This window comes from Homo sapiens, chromosome 5 (genome assembly GCF_000001405.40).
Source record: "Homo sapiens chromosome 5, GRCh38.p14 Primary Assembly".
NCBI classification, from domain to species: domain Eukaryota; kingdom Metazoa; phylum Chordata; class Mammalia; order Primates; family Hominidae; genus Homo; species Homo sapiens.
In genome coordinates this window covers 56,529,492-56,550,615 of record NC_000005.10, presented here as the reverse complement: position 1 = coordinate 56,550,615, position 21,124 = coordinate 56,529,492, and the positions used below count along the sequence as shown (strand labels likewise).

At 43.9% G+C, this 21,124-nt stretch overlaps 1 long non-coding RNA gene across 1 annotated transcript in view, besides 2 other annotated features; it reads left to right on the top strand.

Moving 5' to 3' along the window:
* Nucleotides 1-21,124, top strand: part of C5orf67 (chromosome 5 putative open reading frame 67) — a 94,975-nt gene that overhangs the window by 55,641 nt on the left and 18,210 nt on the right. The window contains exons 3-4 of the long non-coding RNA NR_161255.1: nucleotides 15,388-15,486; nucleotides 17,461-17,534. This is a non-coding gene — a long non-coding RNA (chromosome 5 putative open reading frame 67). The remainder of the gene's footprint in view (nucleotides 1-15,387; nucleotides 15,487-17,460; nucleotides 17,535-21,124) is intronic.
* Nucleotides 5,328-5,528: a silencer, noted in NCBI's record as "peak5248 fragment used in MPRA reporter construct". NCBI's record gives its function as "represses an SCP1 promoter by STARR-seq MPRAs in K562 erythroleukemia cells {active_cell/tissue: K562}" and the evidence as "EXISTENCE:reporter gene assay evidence [ECO:0000049][PMID:32103011]".
* Nucleotides 15,863-16,415: an enhancer, noted in NCBI's record as "H3K27ac-H3K4me1 hESC enhancer chr5:55830028-55830580 (GRCh37/hg19 assembly coordinates)". NCBI's record gives its function as "activates a minimal SCP1, AML or CMV promoter by ChIP-STARR-seq in naive H9 embryonic stem cells {active_cell/tissue: H9 hESC(naive)}" and the evidence as "EXISTENCE:reporter gene assay evidence [ECO:0000049][PMID:30033119]".

Genomic DNA, 21,124 nt, shown 5'->3' with positions numbered 1-21,124 from the left:
CCCAGGCAGCCTACAGTATACTGACGGAGGCAGACATACAAATTTATAATCTCATGGAAAGACTGACCTGTTGACAGGTAATGTCAGATGAACATTGGTCCTTGTTTTTCTGTATCTTTCATGTTAGGGATCAATACTATTGTTGTTTACTCCCTGTGGACATTTGCGACAGGTTGGCCAGTGTCCACAGCAGGGTGTGGTAGCCCTTTCATCATCTTCCTGTATGCCTGCCAACAGGGAGAAGAGATGGAGAAGTACTTTTTTTCCCCCCCTTAATGTGGAATCCACTCTAACAGACTCATTTTAAGTGGCTATTTCAGGACACTTGCTTTCTTCCAGGAATGTACAAGTTCAGTTGACAGGCAAGATAAGAGAAAGTGGCACCTTCTCTTTCTAATGAACTTCCCAGCCCTCCGCTACACCTGCCAGTTCTTTCTGTCACTGTAAACCTCACTGTGCAGGGGAATGGAGTGAACAGTCCCATGCAGAGGGTTTGGACTTGACATGAGCTAGTGAGTTCTAGGCTTGTTTCTTTATATGCATCATATCATTTAATCTGTCTTGCGATTGTAATACCCAGTCTGCAGACATGGAAACTGAGGCATAGAGAGAAAACATCGTGTCCATGGTTGTATAGCTTAGAAGCTGGGAAGCCACTAGTGAATATTAGACCTAATTCAGTAAGTTCTCACCCCTAGACTCAGCTGGAAAGCTTAGAAAACTCATATATACACAGACAAATATCTACCTATTTACATAATGCTTAGACCCAATCCCAGAGATTCTGATTTAATTGGTAGCCTAGGTAGCCTGGTGTCAGCATTTTACCTAAACTTCTTATATGATTGTAAAGTGTAGCTGGGGTGAGAACCTTTGGCTTCACTCCAAAGTCACACTGTACCACATTGCTACACAAATGGCTGATTTCGCTCCCATCCCATCCCTGTTAAAGTACCAGGAAGTGCTTCACAGACCACATGTTAGAAACAGGAAGTTTCTGGACAGGTTTGAACTCCTGGGAAATTTTTAATCATTTCCCTTACTCCTTTCAATGTACAAGTAATTCTATGCTTCTGTGGCCCAAAGAGCTCAGAGGGAATAGTTACTACAAATTCCAGGGGAAGAAAAACATCTGTAAAAATTTTCCTGAATCCTCACATTTTTGAATCTTGTTCATCAGTCAGAAACACTCTGTCCATAATTTCTGGAGGAAACTTTAGCTGACAATTGGCCTTTCTTTTCATCTCTGCTTGGTGATTTCCTCTTGGATCACCTGAACTTTGTTGAATTTCTGTGGTTCACTTGGTTACCACAGGGAATAGTGCACGGTCCTTAGAGACCGGAACTGCAAACTAAGTCCTAATGGTCATTTGACTTAGGGTTACATGCCCTTGGAAACAGATCAAGTGTTTGCCACTGTCCCATACAGTGAATGCCACTCTGCCTCTGCAGATACTGTAAAATTTAGTTCCAACAAAAATGCTGTATTGAGGTGGTCAGGCCCTGTCTCTCTTAGGAACTGGCCCTTAATGTGCTTTAGGGCAGTCTATGTTGGTTATGTCCTTTAACATTTCTTAGCACTTTTTTCTACATTTAAAAGAAGAATTTTGAAAATCCAAATGTTTTCAGTTGGAAGACAACATTTTCAAATCTTGGGAAGATTATTAAGTGATACACACTCTCGGGAATTAGAGGTAATTTCCAACTGGCTTGGCAAGTTACCATGGGCATCAACATTTCTATTAGGAAACATCTTGGAATTGAAAAACAATGTGTATAGTATTTTACTTCTATTTTAAAAAATTGACATAAGGCTATCAAGACATTGTTAAGAAGTTTTTGTCACTAAAGAATAGGATATGTGATTTTTTTGGCATATATTCTCCTATAATAATAACAACTGCAACACTATTGACAACTACTGTTTATTGAAGAGTTTCTTTATGCTTGATTGTGTACTATTTCTCTTACTGCATTTATCATTTACTATTCACAATAACCTTACATAGTAAGTACTACTGTACCACTTTGGATGCATTCAGCTATAAGTAGCTTAAGATTGGCTTACATAGCAAATAAGTTTATTGCCTTACATTATGAGACATTCCATAGTAAAGTGGCTACAGGGGTGCCCAATTCAGTGGCATCAGGATCTGATATTTCTATATTTTTGCTCTGCCATCATCAAAATGGTAGGTGGTTCTTAACCAAGCTCCCATCATGACCTCAAGCTGGCTGCTAAATCACATCCACAAGGGGCAACATCCAGTCTCTTCCCTGATATGCCTCTTGTTATAAATCTTTCCTAGAAGTCCCTTACTCCCCTAAAACAGTACACACAATTGCCTCACATGCCCATGCCCAAAGCAGCCACCACAAGAAGAAAGGAACCAACATGGTTGACTTCCAGACCAATCAAGGTTCATGGCCAACCTGAGGCATACAGAGGAATAAGGTTTTGAAAAAAGTCAATTAGAGCCAGAGGGAAAACATTTTCAAGCCCCTATCTAGTCAGGGCTATCAATTAAAAGTATTTATAGGGAATGTGTACTAATATATGTCTAAATTTCCTTAGGCTGCCTTAAGGACCATAGGCCAGGTAATCTGTCCCCTCATCCTTGTCACTAGGATCAGAGTTCTGTTACAAATATGGAAGGAGAAGTTAGATCACTGTCTGCTCTATTATTATCATCCAAATGTCTACAGATGAGGAAACTGAGGGCCAGAGTGGTCTAAACCAAGGGCATATGGTTAATAGGAGGTAGAGCTGAGCCTTGAAGTCAGGTCTGCTTGTCCTAAAGCCTGTACTTTAGCCACTATATTATCCTATTGCATGCTCTATACCACCTTTCTCTGTCTCTGTCTCTGTATTTCTATCTGTCTCTCTCAAGAAGTATTTTTTTTGCTAATAATTAAATAATGTGGATTTTTTGTTGTTGTCATTCTTCTTAAAGAACTGTCTTGCTGGGTTCAGTTAGCTCTAACCGTGGCTTCTCTACTCCGAGAGCCTGGGGAAAACTTTCTGGACTTTGTTTTCCTTATCATTAAAATGCAAGGGCTCAATTAGATGAGAGCTGAGATCTTTTCCAACCCTAAAATTCCATTAGTGTGTGGTTTTCATGTGAATGATTATTCAAAGCAGATATTTTTAAAAAGCTTTAAGCATACAAATAATAACTTCCTCCACGAAAACAAATGTTACTCTTTCTATAAAATGCACCTGCTTACTTGCTTCTGGTGCAGATGGTGGTGTGCAAGCCTTCCCCATGGGGGCTTTGGTCCTAATATCCTCAGGTGGTGTGTCTTCTCTCTTCTCTCCATCGTGGTACTATCTGTCCCAAGGACTCAGCTCACCCAGGCGTGAATATGCCAAGAGGCCCATCTGCTAATGGCTGAGACCTAATAGCTGCTTCACAAGGCTCACCAGCACCTTGGTTTCCACAGTGTAAGGAAGGAAAACCCAGGTGAGCAGAGGAAGGAACTATTATCTAGGAATTTTGCCCTCTAGAACCAATGCAGACTGCTTGCCTTCCTGTGACCTCCCGCTGTGATCAACCTTCTCAAACGTAAGGGTTTGAAATCATATGAGAGTGAGGACAACTTGGCCACCAGCACTAATGGGTCTAGTGAAGGCCCAGGCAGTAGGAGAGGCAAAGGGAAGAGGGGTGAGATACGTGTATGTGGTGTTTTATTTTTTCTTGTTTCTAGAGAAATAAAAGAGGACTATTTAGAAAAAGGAGGGAAAGTTTTCACAGTTTTATTCAGACCAATATGAGAATGAGAAATGAAAATGGCAAGCATCAGCAAGGCGATATTACCATTCACTTTCTTGTTGAAGTGTCTGCAGACTTTGCCATTAGCCAAATATAATATTGTCCAACCTCTCTCCTCAAGTTCTAGGGAAGCTGAAACATGTTAATTGACAGCAAAGATGTCTTCAGAATCATCATTTATCCCCAAGGTAGATACACATTTCCTCTATGCTAAAAATAATTATAATATTAAATCGTTCATAGCAGAAAACAAGTAAGACTTGATGAAACTTTATTGAATTTATTTGCCCCCCTCATGTTAGGGCCTATAGGAGGCATGCACATGGCCCTGGAGTTAAACTAGAAAATTATCCATGCTTGTCCATTCTGCGAGGTATTATTGTGGCCTGAGAGGTGGAGACCTTATCCATGGAGAGAACATTTTTTAAGCCATATAAACATTAGCAGACCACAATAAAATCAATACTGAAAATGCAACTTAAGGACATGGCACTCTCTCTCTCTCTCTCTCTCTCTCTCACACACACACACACACACACACACACACACACACACACACACAAAGAAGGAACTGGGGGTCCTTTATTCTGGGTAACTGGGAAGGTTCTGGTCACTTTGGATAAGAGTTGCAATTAGGCTTCCAACCCGATACCCTTAGCCAAGCACAGCTCCCCATGAGATTTATGGGGCTAACAGATAAATAACACTTGCATCTGAACGCATTCATGAATAGTCATTCCAGGAAACTAAAGCAAATGTGTGTTTTTGGAGAAAATTATCCAGGTGATTGCTCTGATTTCCATTTTTCTTCCCAGCACAAATTAAAAACAAAATTTCTGAGGTCATGGAAGAAAGAAGATATGCACCACATTATCACCAGATCCTGTCTAAAAGTTGTCCCCATCCTGATGGATTGATCGAGACTTTGGATTCTGGCAGTCTTTGAAACTCACACTGCATGACATGTGCAAAGTCCTCCTTCAGTCGAAGGATGATTCTTCAAAGGGTGATCCCTCAAAGACACTAAGAAGGCAGCTGACCCCCAGAAGGCCCTTTTGGATTGCAGAATTCCAGGCGCTCGCACCTCTGAATACAGCACTGAAGACAGCTTGGCTGCCTCCCCGCCTCCTCTGTCCTGGTACAGCTGCAGAGGGGCTGACTTTGGCAGCCATAGATCACTGAGGCTTTGTCTCAGCTTCTCTCAGAACAGCTTTTCATCAGGAGATTCACAACATCTCTCAAAACACATGTAGGAAGAAGAAGTAAAGCAAACACCAATGGTTTCTTTCAAGAAAGAGACTACTTGGAATCTTTGGGTTTTGGTTTATGATTACAGTGTGTGGAACGGATCATTTCTGGTTTATGAGCAGCTTGATGTGCTAGAAAGAGCTGTGAATTTGGACTTGGAGCAATTAGGATTCTGGTTCCAGCTTTTTTCCAGCTACAGCTCGCGAGTAACTTAGTTTAGCTTCTTTGACCTTGGTTTCCTCATCTGTAAAATGAGAGGGTTTGCTCAGATGATCTTTGACCTAATGAGTCTACGAAAAGTGAATGTTGGAAGCACATGTTCACCTTCTCCAATTACCAGCTGTGATTATGTGACTGGACCAAATGGCACTAACTGTCGAAACCTTTTAGGCTGAAGGGGAAGCACTAACTGTTGAAACCTTTTAGGCTGAAGGGGAAGCATTCTGAAATAGGACAAGGGGCACCTCGTGTTGAAACCTGGAGCTGGTCAACCCTCTGAGGCCAATGCCGACCTTTGCATCTGCCTCCCACGCCCTGCTTGTTTTAGCTGGACCAGGAGAAACTAATGTCAAGACAAAAAAAAAAAAAACCTGAAATCCATAACATTTTGATAGGTAGCTTTATGAACAGTTACAAATCAGATGTTTGCCCCCCAAATTTTAACTTTATTCTCTGAAACAGATCTAAAATTCCTATCTACCTCACAGTTTCACAGATAACCCAGTCTCTTCCAGTTTATAACTGCCTCTTTGGGGTAAGTATTCAGTTAAGTATTTCAATATCAGGGCTATATCTGTGTTCTCAAAGAAAATCCTTTCTACCTTCTCCTCCCCGAAATGGCTTCTGGGAGGGGAAAGCTTACTCTTCTTGAACAAGGAAGCTGGGAGGGGGGTCTTTGGTGTGAGCTGTCCCGTGGATCTTCTGTGACCTCTTCCAGGATGTCCCTTGTCCTACCTTGTCACTGGATAACTTGCATCAGTTTCCACCAGATGTGGCTGATTCCACCTGGCCTTTGGGACCTCATGTTCGCATCTGACAGTTTCATTCTGCCCCTCAATTCTGGATTTGAGATTCTGGCACTTTGTGAGTTTATTTGTTTGGACTCCAGGCCTTGTTGGATCTACCAATCTTTCAGCCCATGTTCCCCAGCTTGGATAATAGGAAATTCTTAATCTCCTATGGGCCACCCAAGACCGTGGGGAATTAGTAACACTATCTATATCAGGCTCTCACTTTCTGCCAAATTCTCCACATTGCAATTTCTAAATCTACTTCAGCCTTTCCCCACCCAACTCCATGTTAGTGCAGGACACCTGGTGAGGTTTTCTCCTGCTAGATGGCCAAAGGCACTGCTACCCTGACTCATTATGAAAGATTGCAGTGATGGATTAGTGGTGACAGGCATGTATAGGGAAGATGGAAGTGGTTGCATTCCTGCCGTATATTTGCCATCATAACTTCTGCCCTTACAAGACAGTAGCTCTTGTCTTGGAATAAGCATCATTTCCCAAGTGAGGCTGGTGTGTGTGTGTGTGTGTGTGTGTGCACGCACATATCATGACCTACAGTAGTAGTTCTCAAATGTTAACATGCAAATAATTACCTGGAGGGCTTGTTAAAACAGACTTCTGGGCCCCACACCCAGTTTCTGATTCTGTAATCCTAGGGTGGAGCGTAAGAGTCTGTATTTCTACCAAGTCCTCAGATGATGCTGATGTTACTGGTCCTGGGATCACACTGACCCAGAATCTCCAGACTCTGGTGCTGTATGCAGATTGTGGTAAAAGCAATGCAATGTCTGAACACAATTTTGTGCTTGGAAACCTGAGGACGTATAGTTTTTCAATGTAAGAGATATTACTGGGGTCTGAGTAAAGAATAGGCATGTAAAAATTCATGCGTGAGTCACCTTTTCAGATGATTACACTATATATTTTCTGATGATTCATTCTTTTCCCCTCATGCCTTTCCAGGTTGCTAACCTGACCAGTCCTGCAGTGGAGGTAGTTATACCCAAGGTGTGATTTGGGATCACTAAAAGGAATTTCTCTAACTACTGAAGTGTCTAAAATACCTAGGTTAGCTCTGAGCTCAGATCCCAGTCCATCAGACTCGCTGTTTTCAAGAGGAGGAAGCAAGGGAGAACAAAAGCTAGCCTGTCCATGGAACAGGCTTAACAGATGAATTTCTTCTTGTATTGTTTCCTTTCTGTTATCTCCTATGTTTCAAACACAAACTTGTATTGAATCTTTTTTTTAAAATTAACAACTTTATTTACCATAAAATTAACTTACTGTAAGTATACAATTCAACTATTTTTTGTATGTTTATAAAATTGTATAACAATCCCCATAATCTAATTTCAGAACATTTTTCTCACCCCCTAAAAAGCCTCATGCCCACACACAATCACTTCTTTTTCCACTCTCTATCCTAAGCAACCACTCATCTGCTTACTGGCCCAATATTTTTGCTTTTTGCCTTTTCTGGACATTTCATATAAGCAGAACCTGGGAGGCCAAGGCGGGCGGATCACGAGGTCAGGAGATCGAGACCATCCCGGCTAAAACGGTGAAACCCCGTCTCTACTAAAAATACAAAAAATTAGCCGGGCGTAGTGGCGGGCGCCTGTAGTCCCAGCTACTTGGGAGGCTGAGGCAGGAGAATGGCGTGAACCCGGGAGGCGGAGCTTGCAGTGAGCCGAGATCCCGCCACTGCACTCCAGCCTGGGCGACAGAGCGAGACTCCGTCTCAAAAAAAAAAAAAAAAAAAAAAAGCAGAACCATACGCTATGTGTTCTTTTGTGCCTCGCTTCTTTCACTGAGCATATGTTTTGGAGGTTCACCTTCATCCACGTTGCAGGATGTCTCAGTACTTCATCAAAGGCTAGCTTCTACCAGGTCTTCCTTTGATGCATGCATCTCTGTCTCTCCATTTCTGCTGTAACTCTTAGTCTTGGTCCTTGTTACTCAAGTGTAGTCCCTGATCACTAGCATCAGCATCACCTGGGAGATAGTCCTGGCAGAGACTCAATCAGGATCTGCATTTGAGCAAGGTCTCAGGGGATTTTTGTGCACACTGCAGTTTAAGAAGCACTTCCCTAGAGAATCTCTTCACCTCTGTCAGAAGCATTGTAGAGCAGCCTCTGCACTGACCTCCCTGTCTCCTCCAGTCTCCCCACTGGGCCACCCAGCCTACACACCACTGCCCACGTGGATGAGGAAACTGAGACTCAAAAGAGGTGGGCAAATTACCCATGATTAGCCCTCAAGTGCCAATCTCCACATGCCCTCCATTTCTTAAACAATCTACATGACTTCTTATTAGCTGTTTGAGTGCCAAGTCTCCATCACTCAAGTGTGATGTTCAAAGCTTGCTAAAATAGCGTCTTCTTTACTGATAGAAGCTTCTCACCTGCAGTGTTCTAACACAAACTTTCAGTTCCTAACATGTCACACCTTTAAATCCTGACGACACTTTAGTCAGCCTCAACTTCAGGTATCCTGCTGAGCTGTCCTTCCATGCATCTAGTGAATTCCACCCACCCCCTCCATGGCTTCAGTCCCATTGCTGCCTGCCCACCCCACATAGGACCTTTCCCAACCTATAAGTTCACATTGAACTTTGCTTATTCTAAAGTCTAAAAATGCATTTTTTTTGAGATGGAGTCTCGCTCTTGTTGCCCAGGCTGGAGTGTATTGGTGTGATCTTGGCTCACTGCAACCTCAGCCTCCTGGGTTCAAGCAATTCTCCTGCCTCAGCCTCCTGAGTAGCTGGGATTACAGGTGCCCACCACCACACCGAGCTAATTTTTTTGTACTTTTAGTAGAGACGGGGTTTCACCATGTTGGCCAGGCTGGTTTTGAACTCCTGACCTCAGGTGATCCTCCCACCTCAGCCTCCCAAAGTTCTGGGATTACAGGTGTGAGCCACTGCACCTGGCCAAGAATGCATTTTTTTAAGAGACAGGGTCTCTCTCTGTCACCTAGGCTGGAGAACAGTGGCTTGATCACAGTTCACTGCAGCCTTGACCTCCCGGGCTCAGGCAATTCTCCCATCTCAGCCTCCCCAGAGGCAGGGACTACAAGCACATGCCACCACACCTGGCTAATATTTTGTAGAGATAGGGTCTCACTTTGTTGCCCAGGCTGATCTCAATCTCCGGGCTTCAAGTGATCCTCCGGCCTTGACCTTCCAAAGTGCTGGGATTGCAGGCGTGATTCACTGCACCTGGCCTAAGAATGCATATTAAACACTGAATCCTGTGGTTATTCTTCAGCTACTCATAGTAATAATAATAATTATGATGATGATAAATGATACCAAAGATTGTTGCAGCAATTTGTGGTTGATACTTTAACTTATTCCATTTTGCTTATATAATCTGCATATCTTTTTAATATAAAAATATGAGCTCCTAGAGAAAAAGGGTTATTTCTTATAGGTCATTTATAATATTTTGATTACCAGGAGAACCCTGGCTATCTCAGTAGGAACTCCATAAATTCTTCAGGAATGAAGACCAGGTCAGAGGCAGAATGATAAATTTCCCCTAGAATGGAAGAACTGTTTCCAATACGGAAACTGTTAAAGGACAAATATGATAAAAATATAACTTCTACTACTATGATTGACATTTATTGAATACTGTATGAGATCTTTTATGCATGTGATCTTAGGCAATTTTCACTAGATCTCTATGAAGTGAGCACTATTATTCCTATTTAGGAAGGCATTCTTAGTCATCCCTGTGGATGAGGAAACTGAGGCTCAAAGAATTTGTGCAACTTACCTAAGGCATACAGCTAGTGAGTGGCAGGGATAAGAATCAGATCCAAGTTTCTGACTATTATGCTCTCTTTCCCTACTGTGAAGTAGTTCCACCAAGGGAGTGTTGGGACCCGCCTGGGATAATTAGGGTCTTGGAGGTCGTAACGATTTTTCTGAGTCAGGAAGTGTTTCCATAGGCAATATTCCTGTTTTCATTGAAACACTGGTGACATTTAAAGTCACCATGAATTTCCTCCTTTGCATCAGAGGACACTCAAAGAGAACAACACAATGGATAAAGATGGACTCCACCAGCTTCCTTGGCCAAATTCTTCTCATTCTTGGCTTGGTGTAAGTGGCCTAGGTGGGCTGACTATTCTCTGAACATAATGCTTGGCTGTAATTTCATCTTGGGGTGGCCAGAACAAAGGAGACTCTGACATTCTGAGATTAGAGCTTTAGTTAGGCGGTAAACTGCCTCATCCAGTCAGCTGCCTACCCAAGGGTGACATGTAACTTGGTTCTACTGACTACCAATACATTTTCCATATTCTCGGACCAACCAAACCCTGAAAAATGTTTATTACCCTGTTCCATGTTATACAATTATTACTTAGCAATTCACACTTCTTTCTGATGGCCCACAAGTCACTAGACAAAAAAAACAAACAAGAAGTGGAGACTTTCTACAGCTCACAGCTTCAAATATGGTTTCCATCAAGCTATTCTCAGAACGACATGAAATGTTGGGGGGAATGTAGAAACTTGCAGCCATGAAAGATGGCAGAGACAATCTAATTCAGGTGTCTTTATGGGGATCCTCAGAGGTTGGCATTTTGTGGAGGTCCTTGCCAGCCACCATGCGATGTGGGGAGTGTATTGATATTCTGTTGCTGTGAAACATATTATCATAAATTTAGCAGCTTAAAACTGCCTCCATTTAGTATCTCACAGTCCTGTAGGTCAGAAGTCTGGCACAGCGTGGCTGAATTCTCTGCTCAGGGTCTCACAAGGCTGAGTTCTTGCCTAGAGGCTCTGGGGAAAAGCTGACTTCTAAGTTTCTTCTTGTTACATCCATAGGACTGAAGTCCTTGTTCTGGCTGGCTGCCGTGGAGTGGAGGCTGCTCTCAGCTACTCGAAACTGCCACTTTCCTTGCCACTTGGGCCCCTAGATCTTCAAGCCATCAATGATGTGTCAAATCCTTCTTGTGCTTCCAATCTCTGGCTTTCTGTTTGGTCATCAGCCAGAGTAAACTCTCTACTGTAAAAGGATTCGTATAATCAGGTCAGACCCACCTGGAAAATATCCCCATCTTAAGCCCAATGGATTTGGACTTCTAAATACACCTCCAAAATTCCCCCATAGCAGTACTTAGATTAGTGTTTGAATAAATGAGAGGAAGGAGGTACACAGTGGGGCTGGGGTTCTTAGGGGCCACCTGAGGATTCTACCTGTCATGGGAGAAATCAAAGTGGGGCCCCAGACTTTGGGGCCCCATTTTGCCTCAGAGTTGCCTCATTTTGATGGGTTTTTGTATCTTCTGGTCAATTTTTCAATGAACAGTTATTTGGCTTAAATAATTATCTGGCCACACCCTCTTCCTTCTCCACCCCATGACCTATACTGACTCCTTCATTTCACAGATGAGGACACTGAAGCCTAGAGAGGCTATGGTGTGTCCAGGAGATCAGTTGGTTAGTGGTAGACTTGCTCCTGCACACCAGGCCTTCTGGCTCCCAGTCCATTGCTCTTTCCACATCGTCTCGCCAGGAAGGCTGCCTTCATCCTTTCTCATCATCAAATGGCTCTGAATTTCACATTAATTACTCCTTTTTTATGGTCCCTGAAAGATGAGCATTATTTATTATTCCTGTATTTTCTGTCTAATTCAAACCAGTATGAATACTTATCTCTGAGTGGAGGTGCTGTGAGGAATCACCACTGGCGTCATTGGGAGAGTCCATTGTTTTTCTGCCAGGAGGGGTAGTCACAGGATGCTGCATGCTCCTGTGCTCCTCCACAGGGTTCTTTTCCTACCCTGAAGACTTTCCTCCTATAGAGGAAGGGCTCAACACACAGCTCAGAAATGGCAGAGACCGAGCTGGAGATGTGGTTCGCAGGGCAAGGAATGTAAGCGGTCATTGTGTTCCGTGATATTTCCCTGAAGTCCAGCCTGCACCATACATATGGGCAGCGGAAGCACCCACAAGCAGTCACTGACATACCCCCACCAATGTAAACTCCCAAGTGTCACTCACTCAATGGCTCCATTGCTTAAAATGTACCATTAACTCTGCTCCCTGAAGAAACAGGGGATGACCTAGGCAGGCAGCTTGAGAACATGAGTCTTCCCCAAACCCTAGATTCTCATATTCACTCTTGGTGTTGCTCTGTTAAAACACACAGTCCAAAAATAGTCACGAGGTGGACAATCCACAGTAATTATTGTTCTATGAAAATTGGGCAAAGGCAATGTCTATACCAAGAACAGCATCTTTGAAAGTTTTTGGATTATAACCCAAAGTAAGAACTATATAGTACATTAAATTCAGTATGCTATACACATGTATACATATAAATACACAAACATAAATACAAATAAGTATAAATAAAATAATACATATAAGTATTTATGTTTGCATATTTATATGTATACATGAGTACAGCATACTGAATTTAATTTACTATAAATTTATAGTAAATTAAATTCTACTATATTTTAATTTCATATGAAAAAAACAAAAGCTAAAAAAATACCCTTACTATTGGTATTTTCTATTCCAGCCTATTTCTTTTAATGCTGTTTGAGACCTGTTAATGGTTGTAGCCTGGTCAGAAAAAGGACTCCTGGATCCTCCTGGAAGCTTCGTGATTTGTTACTGCTAATTCACGTTTACCCACAATGAGCATCCATACATGGGTTCTGAAGATTAAAGTCATCCTTGAGAAGGGAGAGTGGAATGCCAAAACTTTTCTTGGATTCCAGAGCTCTGGTTCATGTCTGCAACATGGATGCAATGATATAACCTTATTTTATGTATCATCCATTCACCTGTTGATCAAAGACTGTATTCAAGATGGCAGGCACGGTGAAGTCAATGATAACTCTAGTTTATTGAGAAACTACTCGGCATCATACATTATCTTAATTAATCCTCTTTACAATCCCAGAAAGGTGGGTATTCTTATTACTTCAGTTGTACAAATGAGACTATTAAGGCTCAAAAAGTTTGTGACCTGGCCAAGATAGTATGGGGGTTAGAGCCCATTGGTCAGAGAGCAGAGCCCATGTTCTCCTCTAAGATCTGGTCATTAGAAATAAGCAAACAAGCAATAAAACATGCATACATAACACTTTACTACTGGCCTGAGCCTAAAACTTTATATTCTGGTGCCCCTGCAAATGTTTTAGGAAGACCCGTCCATTGAAAACTCTGGAAGAAATGCCTCTTTTCCTGCCCTCCAACTTCTGGCATTCCAAGAATGACCTGGGCAAAGTTAATCAACTACATATAGAAGGGCCATGAGGGTGGGTGGGGCACAGAGAAGAGATGGTTTCTGGCCCCCTCCTCCCCTTCTCATCTCCCACTGGCCTCAGCTGCTGTCTCCTGACGTCTGAGTCAGAGTGGAGTTGGAGGGAGAAACAGAAAAATTGCAGGAAAAGGGATGAAGGGTGCAGGGCACATACGGGCTGAAAGCAGCCAAGTAGGCTAGGGTTCCCCAGAAGTAGCTCTCACCCTCTGGTCCCGCCAAGCTGAACTCTATAGTGGTATATCATATATCATATATCATATATCTATAGATTGTGTCCAGTTTTTTATCAGCATCCAATTTGTGTTGCTTATCATTTTGCAGACCTCGCTGTTGTTTTGTCTTTTCACAGTGTTCCTTATCCTTTATCTTCAAGTACCCTAAGGTGCAAAGCACAGAAGGAGGGGTGGTTTAGAAAGACTGGGCTCGGCCGGGCGCAGTGGCTCACGCCTGTAATCCCAGCACTTTGGGAGGCCGAGGTAGGCGAATCACCTGAGGACCGGAGTTCAAGACCAGCCTAACCAACATGGAGAAATCCCGTCTCTACTAAAAATACAAAATTAGCCGGGTGTGGTGGCGCATGCCTGTAATCCCATCTACTCTGGAGGCTGAGGCAGGAGAATGGCTTGAACCTGGGAGGCAGAGGTTGCTGTGAGCCGAGATCACGCCATCGCACTCCAGCCTAGGCAACAAGAGCGAAACTCCATCTCAAAAAAAAAAAAAAAGAAAAGAAAGAAAGACTGGGCTCTAGTCTTGGGACTATTATTTAAAAGTTGTTTGTCTTCCTTTTTCTGAGACTGTCTCGCCATCTCTAAAGTAAGGATAATATTAACCATCCTGCTTGCCACACAGGGAGTAATTTTGCAAAATATATTAGGCTTTGAAGGAAGAAGTCGTTCTAACAGTCCCTAGCTAGAACTTGAGTGACTTAAAGGTATTGGTTTAGTTACTTTAATGCTTTTTTGTTGTGGGCTTTTAAAAAAATCTATAAGGGGGTTAGGTTGCTTAGATAACATTTCTGTTTTCAAAGACAGTCTAAGCATTGTGGAAAGCAAGACTCTGACATATGTGGACACATTAAGCCACTGCACACGTGTCTTATCAGCAAGCAGTACCAGAAAAAAACAATGGCTGGTTCTGCTGAAATTGTGAGCATTCTCTTGTGTCAGCCATGCTTGTGTGGCTAGAACATAGGGAGGAAGAAGGCAATGGCATGGGTCGAGACGGGAAACGTGGCCAGGAGGCTCATCTTGCAGGGCCTTGTGAAGACCATGGGAGGAAACTGGACATATTTCAAATGCAATGGGACACAAAATACATACTTAAAGCAAATAGGTGCTCTTTTTTCTGGCCATCGTAGTGAAGCAGTTTAGAGGAAATGGGGGCTTCCTTCATATGAGAAAGGAGGTTGAGAAAGCTAATGTATCAGCCCCTAGGCCGCTGACCTCTCACTCTCCTGCCTCCACCCCCACAGAAAAGAGTGCACAGGAGCAAGGAGTGGCCTGGGTGCATGTGCCCAGCGCCTCTGTGTGGGGTCTTCTCCTTCTACCATCTCAGGACCCCTGGGTCTCTGCAGACCTGCTTTCCACCCAAGGGGAAGAGAAAAGGGCTGAGCAGAGGTGAAGGAGGTAACTGAAATGCATTTTCAACAACTATTTATGTTTCTCAAGGTGAATGAGAAATCCCCTGTGGGAGGCTGAAAAAATGCCTTCCAAAGGTATCCATTCTCTAATCCCCAGAACCTGTAACTATGTTACCTTATATGGCAAAAGGGCCTTTGGATACATGACTAAGGAATGCAGACAGCCTGTAGATAGAAAGGGAAGAAAATGGATTCTCCTCTAGAACCTCCAGAAGGAATGAGCCCTGCTGGCACCTTGACTTTAGCCCACTGAAATTTATTTCGAACTTCCAGCCTCCAAAATTCTAAAAGAATAAATCTGTGTTTTTTAAAGCCACTAAATTTGTGGCAATTTCTTACAGCAGCAATAGGAAAGAAATATATTTCCCTTCCTAGACTTTTCTTCAAACTTAATAGCTGAACCTTAAACTCATTTATTCTAGGAGGGCTCCAGTCTTCAAAGAACCAGAGCATGGGTACCAAAGCCTCCCAGAGCTAGTTCTGGTCCCAGCTCAGCCACTTGTCTGTTTGGGTGACTATAGGTAAGTCATGCTCCCCATTCTTCTCATCGGTAAAGTAGGAAAGATAATAATACCTACCTTGCAGGGTGACCATGAGGCTCAGAGACAATGCGGTGAGGCATGAAATGGCCCCTGACACATAACTAGCCCTCATGCATGGTATTGGAAAACTCCAGGTTCAGGCAGGCAGGGTGAACAGTTTCTATTGCCAGGGGCTGGGGCATCTCGGTCTTGACTTAAGAGAGGCCAGCATTCTCCAGAGATGGAGGGTGGGGGCGCAGGCAGAAGGTCCTGTGTTCAGTCTGTGAGCAGAGTGAGCTACCCTCACTGTACAGGGTCATGCTGACCCAAACTCCCCTCTGGGAATATGGCCATACCCTCATTGTCCTTGTCCAGCCAGCATGGACACACCAAGCCTTTCTGCACTGCAGCAGCCCATGTGCCATAAGAAGAGAGAGAAGGAAGGGAAGACCACGTGCAGGACTCTGCATCTCCACACCACCCTGGCAGAGACACTGGCTACAGCAGGGCTCCAGTTGTCTGGGCTTCTGCCTTCGTGGTGCCCTCTTTTCAGAGAACATGGGATTATTTGTGGGAGAGAGTAGGGCACACTATGCCCCTTGCTTTTGGCCCTGAATCTGAACTATTTCTGTGGCAGCTGAACATGTCCAGGAGGAAACTTCCTGGTGAAAGGACTGTTAGCCTTGAGACCACATTTTGTGAAACAAAACAAAGCAAATGTTCTCTGAATGTCACCTGAAGACCTGACTTAAGCTTCATTTCCAAGAACATATTGCCTGTCAGAAAAACAAGTGCCATATAAGGAATTCCATTAATGAGCCGAGGCAGGCAGGCGCCTGGACACACCTTTTCTGCTGAGTGACTCATCTGCAGGAGGGAGCTCGATTAGAAACAAGGGCAGCTTGCACTGTACTACCTAGCCTAGGGCTTTGGGAAGGGGAATACGCCTATTCTATGAGACCTTCCTCATCACTCTAGAGACAATCTTGCTAATCCCTTCATGGCCAGTGCAAACTGGCCAGTGCAATGGAAAACCCTAATGCTACAATCTAGAATCTTGGATTTGGGGATGACCTTGAAGTCCTTAGACTTATATATAATGTTACATATGAAGAAATTGTGCCCCAGCAGGTGACTTATCCAAAGTTACCAGCTGCATGGTGACAGGTCAAGGTCTAGCTCTGAGCTCTGCTAAATCCTGGCTTGTGCTCTTGCCCTGCAGCATGCTAAGCTATCATTTGAACCCTTTGGGCATCAACACTAAAATGTAGTGGTACTTAGTTGATCAGTTTAGCCAACTAGCAGAGAGTAGGCTCAAGGAGTTGAATATATTTTTTGAGGCTGGGGAAGGGCTTGGGAGCGGGGCTATAAGTGCAGGGGGTGAAAGACAAGGTGTGACTTTAGCATAGTGAGAGTCTGCAAAGTACCAGGTCAAAGCAAATTTCTCCCCTTTCTCCAACTGTTGCACCAAGCTTGTAGCTAAACTTCTGTTGTCATTATTCTCTGGCCATTTTATATTCTAATTATTCGTCAACCAGTCATATTCTAGCACTTCGAAGGGAATAGGTGTGGATTCCAGACTTTCCAAAATTTTCAGAAAAAAGAACCTTGGTTACCATCCAATCCAACTGACAAATGAGTAAACTGAGACTTCAAAGATGCTAAGTGATTTGTCTATGGCAGTGCTTACCCAGTAGAGCTTTCAGCAATGTTGGAAATGTTCTATGTCTGTGCTGTCCAGTGTGGAAGCCAGTAGCCTTATGTGGCCATTGAGCACTGAAAATGTGGCTAGTGCTACTAAGGAACTGGTTTCTAATTGTATCTAATTTTATTTGATTTCGATTTAAATAGCCACGTGTGGCTAGTGGCTACCATATTGGATGGCATAGGTCTAAGGTCACAGAACTGAGATGCAACACAAGGCCTTCTCTGATTTTAAAGCATTTTTTTCTTTCCCCCCCACCCCCCATGCAGAACTCCAGATCCAGGTGGGCTCTTTCCATGGAGCCTGAGACTTATGATGCCAGGTGCCTGGACAAAGCTTCCAGGTAAGCAATAGTGGTTGCCGGTGTTCTGTGAGCTGTCCCAGAAGGCCAGGTAAGAAGGCACTTCATCCTAATATTTGGAAGTATGAGCTTCCCCGTGGTGAGAGGGGAATAGAGAAGCCCATGCATTTATTCTTTCTTTAATGAAACATTGAGTGTCTACTATGGGTCGGGTGTGTTCTAGCCACTGGGCACTACAATGGTTACTTGACATGTTTACTGCTTTGGTTCCCTAAAGATGAATGGTAAAAAGTGCCACATGAGCTCAGAGATGAGAGAGCCATTTGTCACTGGTTAAGAAGTCCCCAACTTCCTTTGGCAAATACTCTATGTCGTGCCGCAGAAACAGATGCCTGTGACAAGCTCACTGGGATCAGTACTGACAGAGCCTGTGCTCACTCAGCCCCTGCATCCAGCCTTTCAGACAACAGCTTGATTTCCTCTAGGTCCAGACTGGTTTCCTTCCATGAGGGACTGCAGTTAAATCACGGCTGGGAGGATGATCACAAGGGTTGTTTCAGTTTAATTTAGAGGTCCAAGCTCCATAGAGAGTAAGCCACAACATTATTCTGACATCTGTGTAACATAAACTTGCTCCATCCTTTCATGGGTGTCAGTGAGTTCTCCGTAGAGTGCCTTGAGGACAATTATTTACAGCCCTTGTTAAAGACTTTTAACTACCTCTGTGTGTGTGCGTGTGTATGTGTCTGCACACACACACACACATGTGGGCATGGGGGTATTCATGCATTGAAGCAGTAACAATTGTTATGACATAGTTTTTTTTTAAAAATCCTCATAGAACTTGAATATGGTCTAAAAAAGACATAGGTATAGATATAACTGAAATTCAGAGAAAAGTGACATAAAAGATAGGCATGGCATTCAGTCATTCTTGTTGGACAGAATCAAAGGAAAATGTATAAAAAAGGGAGCCTTGGGAGTGGTTCTTGATATACTGTCAGACAAAGATGGAGGAGGGCATTGCAGATGAAGAAAATGGCAGAAGCAAAGAATCAGAGGTAGGAAGGCTCAGAGGGGAATGACAAATATTGGATTAGAACATGGAGACTACAGATGGGGCAATAATAGAAGGCCAACCAGAAAGGTAACTTGGGGCCTGATTATCAGGCTAAGGAATTTGGACTTTACTTTGTTGCCAGTAGGGAGCCACTAAAGGTGTTTGAGCACTGGAAGAATACAGTGTCAACTAATACAGTGACAGAAAGATGGAGCATGGTGGGGAGAAGCTGAGGTCAGGAAATCAGTTAAGCGGCTATTTGCATAATCCAGGAAAGAGGGGCTATGCTTCTGAAGAAGACCCATGGCAGAGGATAATGTGTAGCTACTATGTAGCTTTTTACCTGATTGAATAAAGGAAGAGGATTGGAGTAAAAAATGGTGCCGAGATGTCAAGCCTAAATGACTAAAGAAAGATACCATCAAGAGAAATACGGAAATCCGGAGGAAAAGCTGGCTTAGGGGAAAATGACCTTCCTGATGGAAATGTCTGGCAAGCACAATAAAATAGAAGATGGGCATTGAAGGCTGGATATTGGGCCCTAGGGTGTAGGTGGGTAGAGACGTAGCTCTCAGCCCTCAAGAGGAGGCTGCTGAGTTCACAGGAGTTCATGAACAAACCAAACAAGAAGAGGTGGGGTCAAGGTAAACCTTAAGAAATGGTGGAGGAGGCCAATGAAGGAAAGAAGAAGCGGGAGAAGAGCAGAAGAGCAAAACAGCGCAGAGCCAAGGGAGAACTTATACAGGGGGCCAGTCAATTCAGTCTATGTATTCAGCTCCTGTCGCTGGAGATTCATTGATGAACAAGACAAATCTGGTCCTTCTCTTTGAGAAGCTTGCTGTCCAGTGGAAAAAAACAGATGAGCCAAGTAAGAAACTAACAAATAATTACAAAAGACAATAATGGTTATGAAGGAAGTAAGCTGGCTGCTGTGATAGAGGGTATTAAGAATGGGTGACACATCCTTTTAGAGAGGCGGCCAGGGAAGACCTCTTTCAGCAGGTGCTATTCCAGCTCAGATGTGCAGGTGAAAAAGCACCTAGCCAAGGAAGAAGAGTGGATGGGCTTTCCAGCAGAGGGAAAAGCAGGGCAAAGCTGCTGAGACAGGAAAGAGCTTGGCACATTGGAGGGCAGCAGATGGCCAGGGTGACAGGTGCACAGAGACCAGAGAGGAAGGGGACATGTGATAGAACTGGAAGGGTAGGATGGGGCCAGATGACATAGCCCATAGTAATAAAATTTGGACTTTATACTAAGAGCGAATTTCAACAGCATGAAACTGAAAACAGAGATTAAGGAGAGTGAGGACTGGGAGAATGCCATTGGATTCAGCCTTGAGGTGATCTTCAAGATAGCACAGGAGAGAGATGGTGGCTGAAGTTAGTCTGCAGTGTTGAGAGACTTAAAGCATCTGTACAGCCCTTCCTGGAGAAGTTTGGCAGTCAGAGAGGGCAGGGAGATAGATATTCTTGGGGATCCCACCAAAAATCATACTCATCTGGGACACCTAGGTGGCCATGCCGATAGGCACATGCCAGGGCTTGTTTGTATTGCTGTAGCTGAAGTCGTAAAGGAAAATGGAACACCCAGCCCCTGCTCAAAGCCATGCCTTAAGTCCCCGGAAAGGCCTAGTAGAAAACCAGCATGCTGCATCATACAAAGATAAGGCCAGAAGCCACCAGTGCGGTTGGCCCCTGTCTGGCTGAGTGGCTGGCTTTCGCCCCTCAGAGCTGATGGCAAGGACCAGGCAATGGAGACGGATTAGGAAAGCCCCAGGCCTGGGCAGCCAGCGAGGGAAGAAACTATGCCATCCCGACTGTCACTTCACACAGTATGCTTGACTCATGGGTGTCGACAATTGCACTGTAATTGTAATTATACTAGGCAATGTTTCATAATACCTTCTGTCAACTGATATTTCGTAAAAGGCCATGAAGTTTTAATAGTTGGCTGCTTCAAGAGATCGCTTAGCTTTTAAACCCGAGCCGAAGGAGGCTGAGTGGGATCCGGGTTATAATTATAAGGGTTGAGAAGTGGCTGGGAATACTATAAATGCCAAATAAAAAGGAAACGCACTAATATCCAGGGCCTGCTTGTGGAGAAGGGCTGATTCAACCCTCTGCCTGCTGCCCTAGCTCTGTGAATGCCCAGGACAAAAAGCAGGAACCAGGTCCCTAATTGCAATGGCCTCCCAAGCAGGGGGAAAGACCAACATTTGCCTCCTTGACTCTCTTGTGAGGCCTCAGTTTGTGTGCTGGGGTTTTTGAGTGGAAGTCCAGGGTGGAATCAGTGGAAGGGGTGGAGGGAAGCCCTGCGCGAGTGTGCCCTGGCCTAGGGGGAGCGGCATTTCGCAAACCCCCTATGCATAGTGCTGTCCTCAGCCCAGAGCCTCTGACAATACCTGGGCCTGGCCTTGCCCTAGACCAAACACAACAGGGTCTTTACCAAGGGACCTCAGTTTCAGAATTAAAAAAAAAAAAAATCTCTGTGGTAGGCTGAAGAATGCATGCACCCCCAACAAAAATGTTCTAATTCCTGGAGCCTGTGATTTTGTTTTCTAATTTCCATAGGT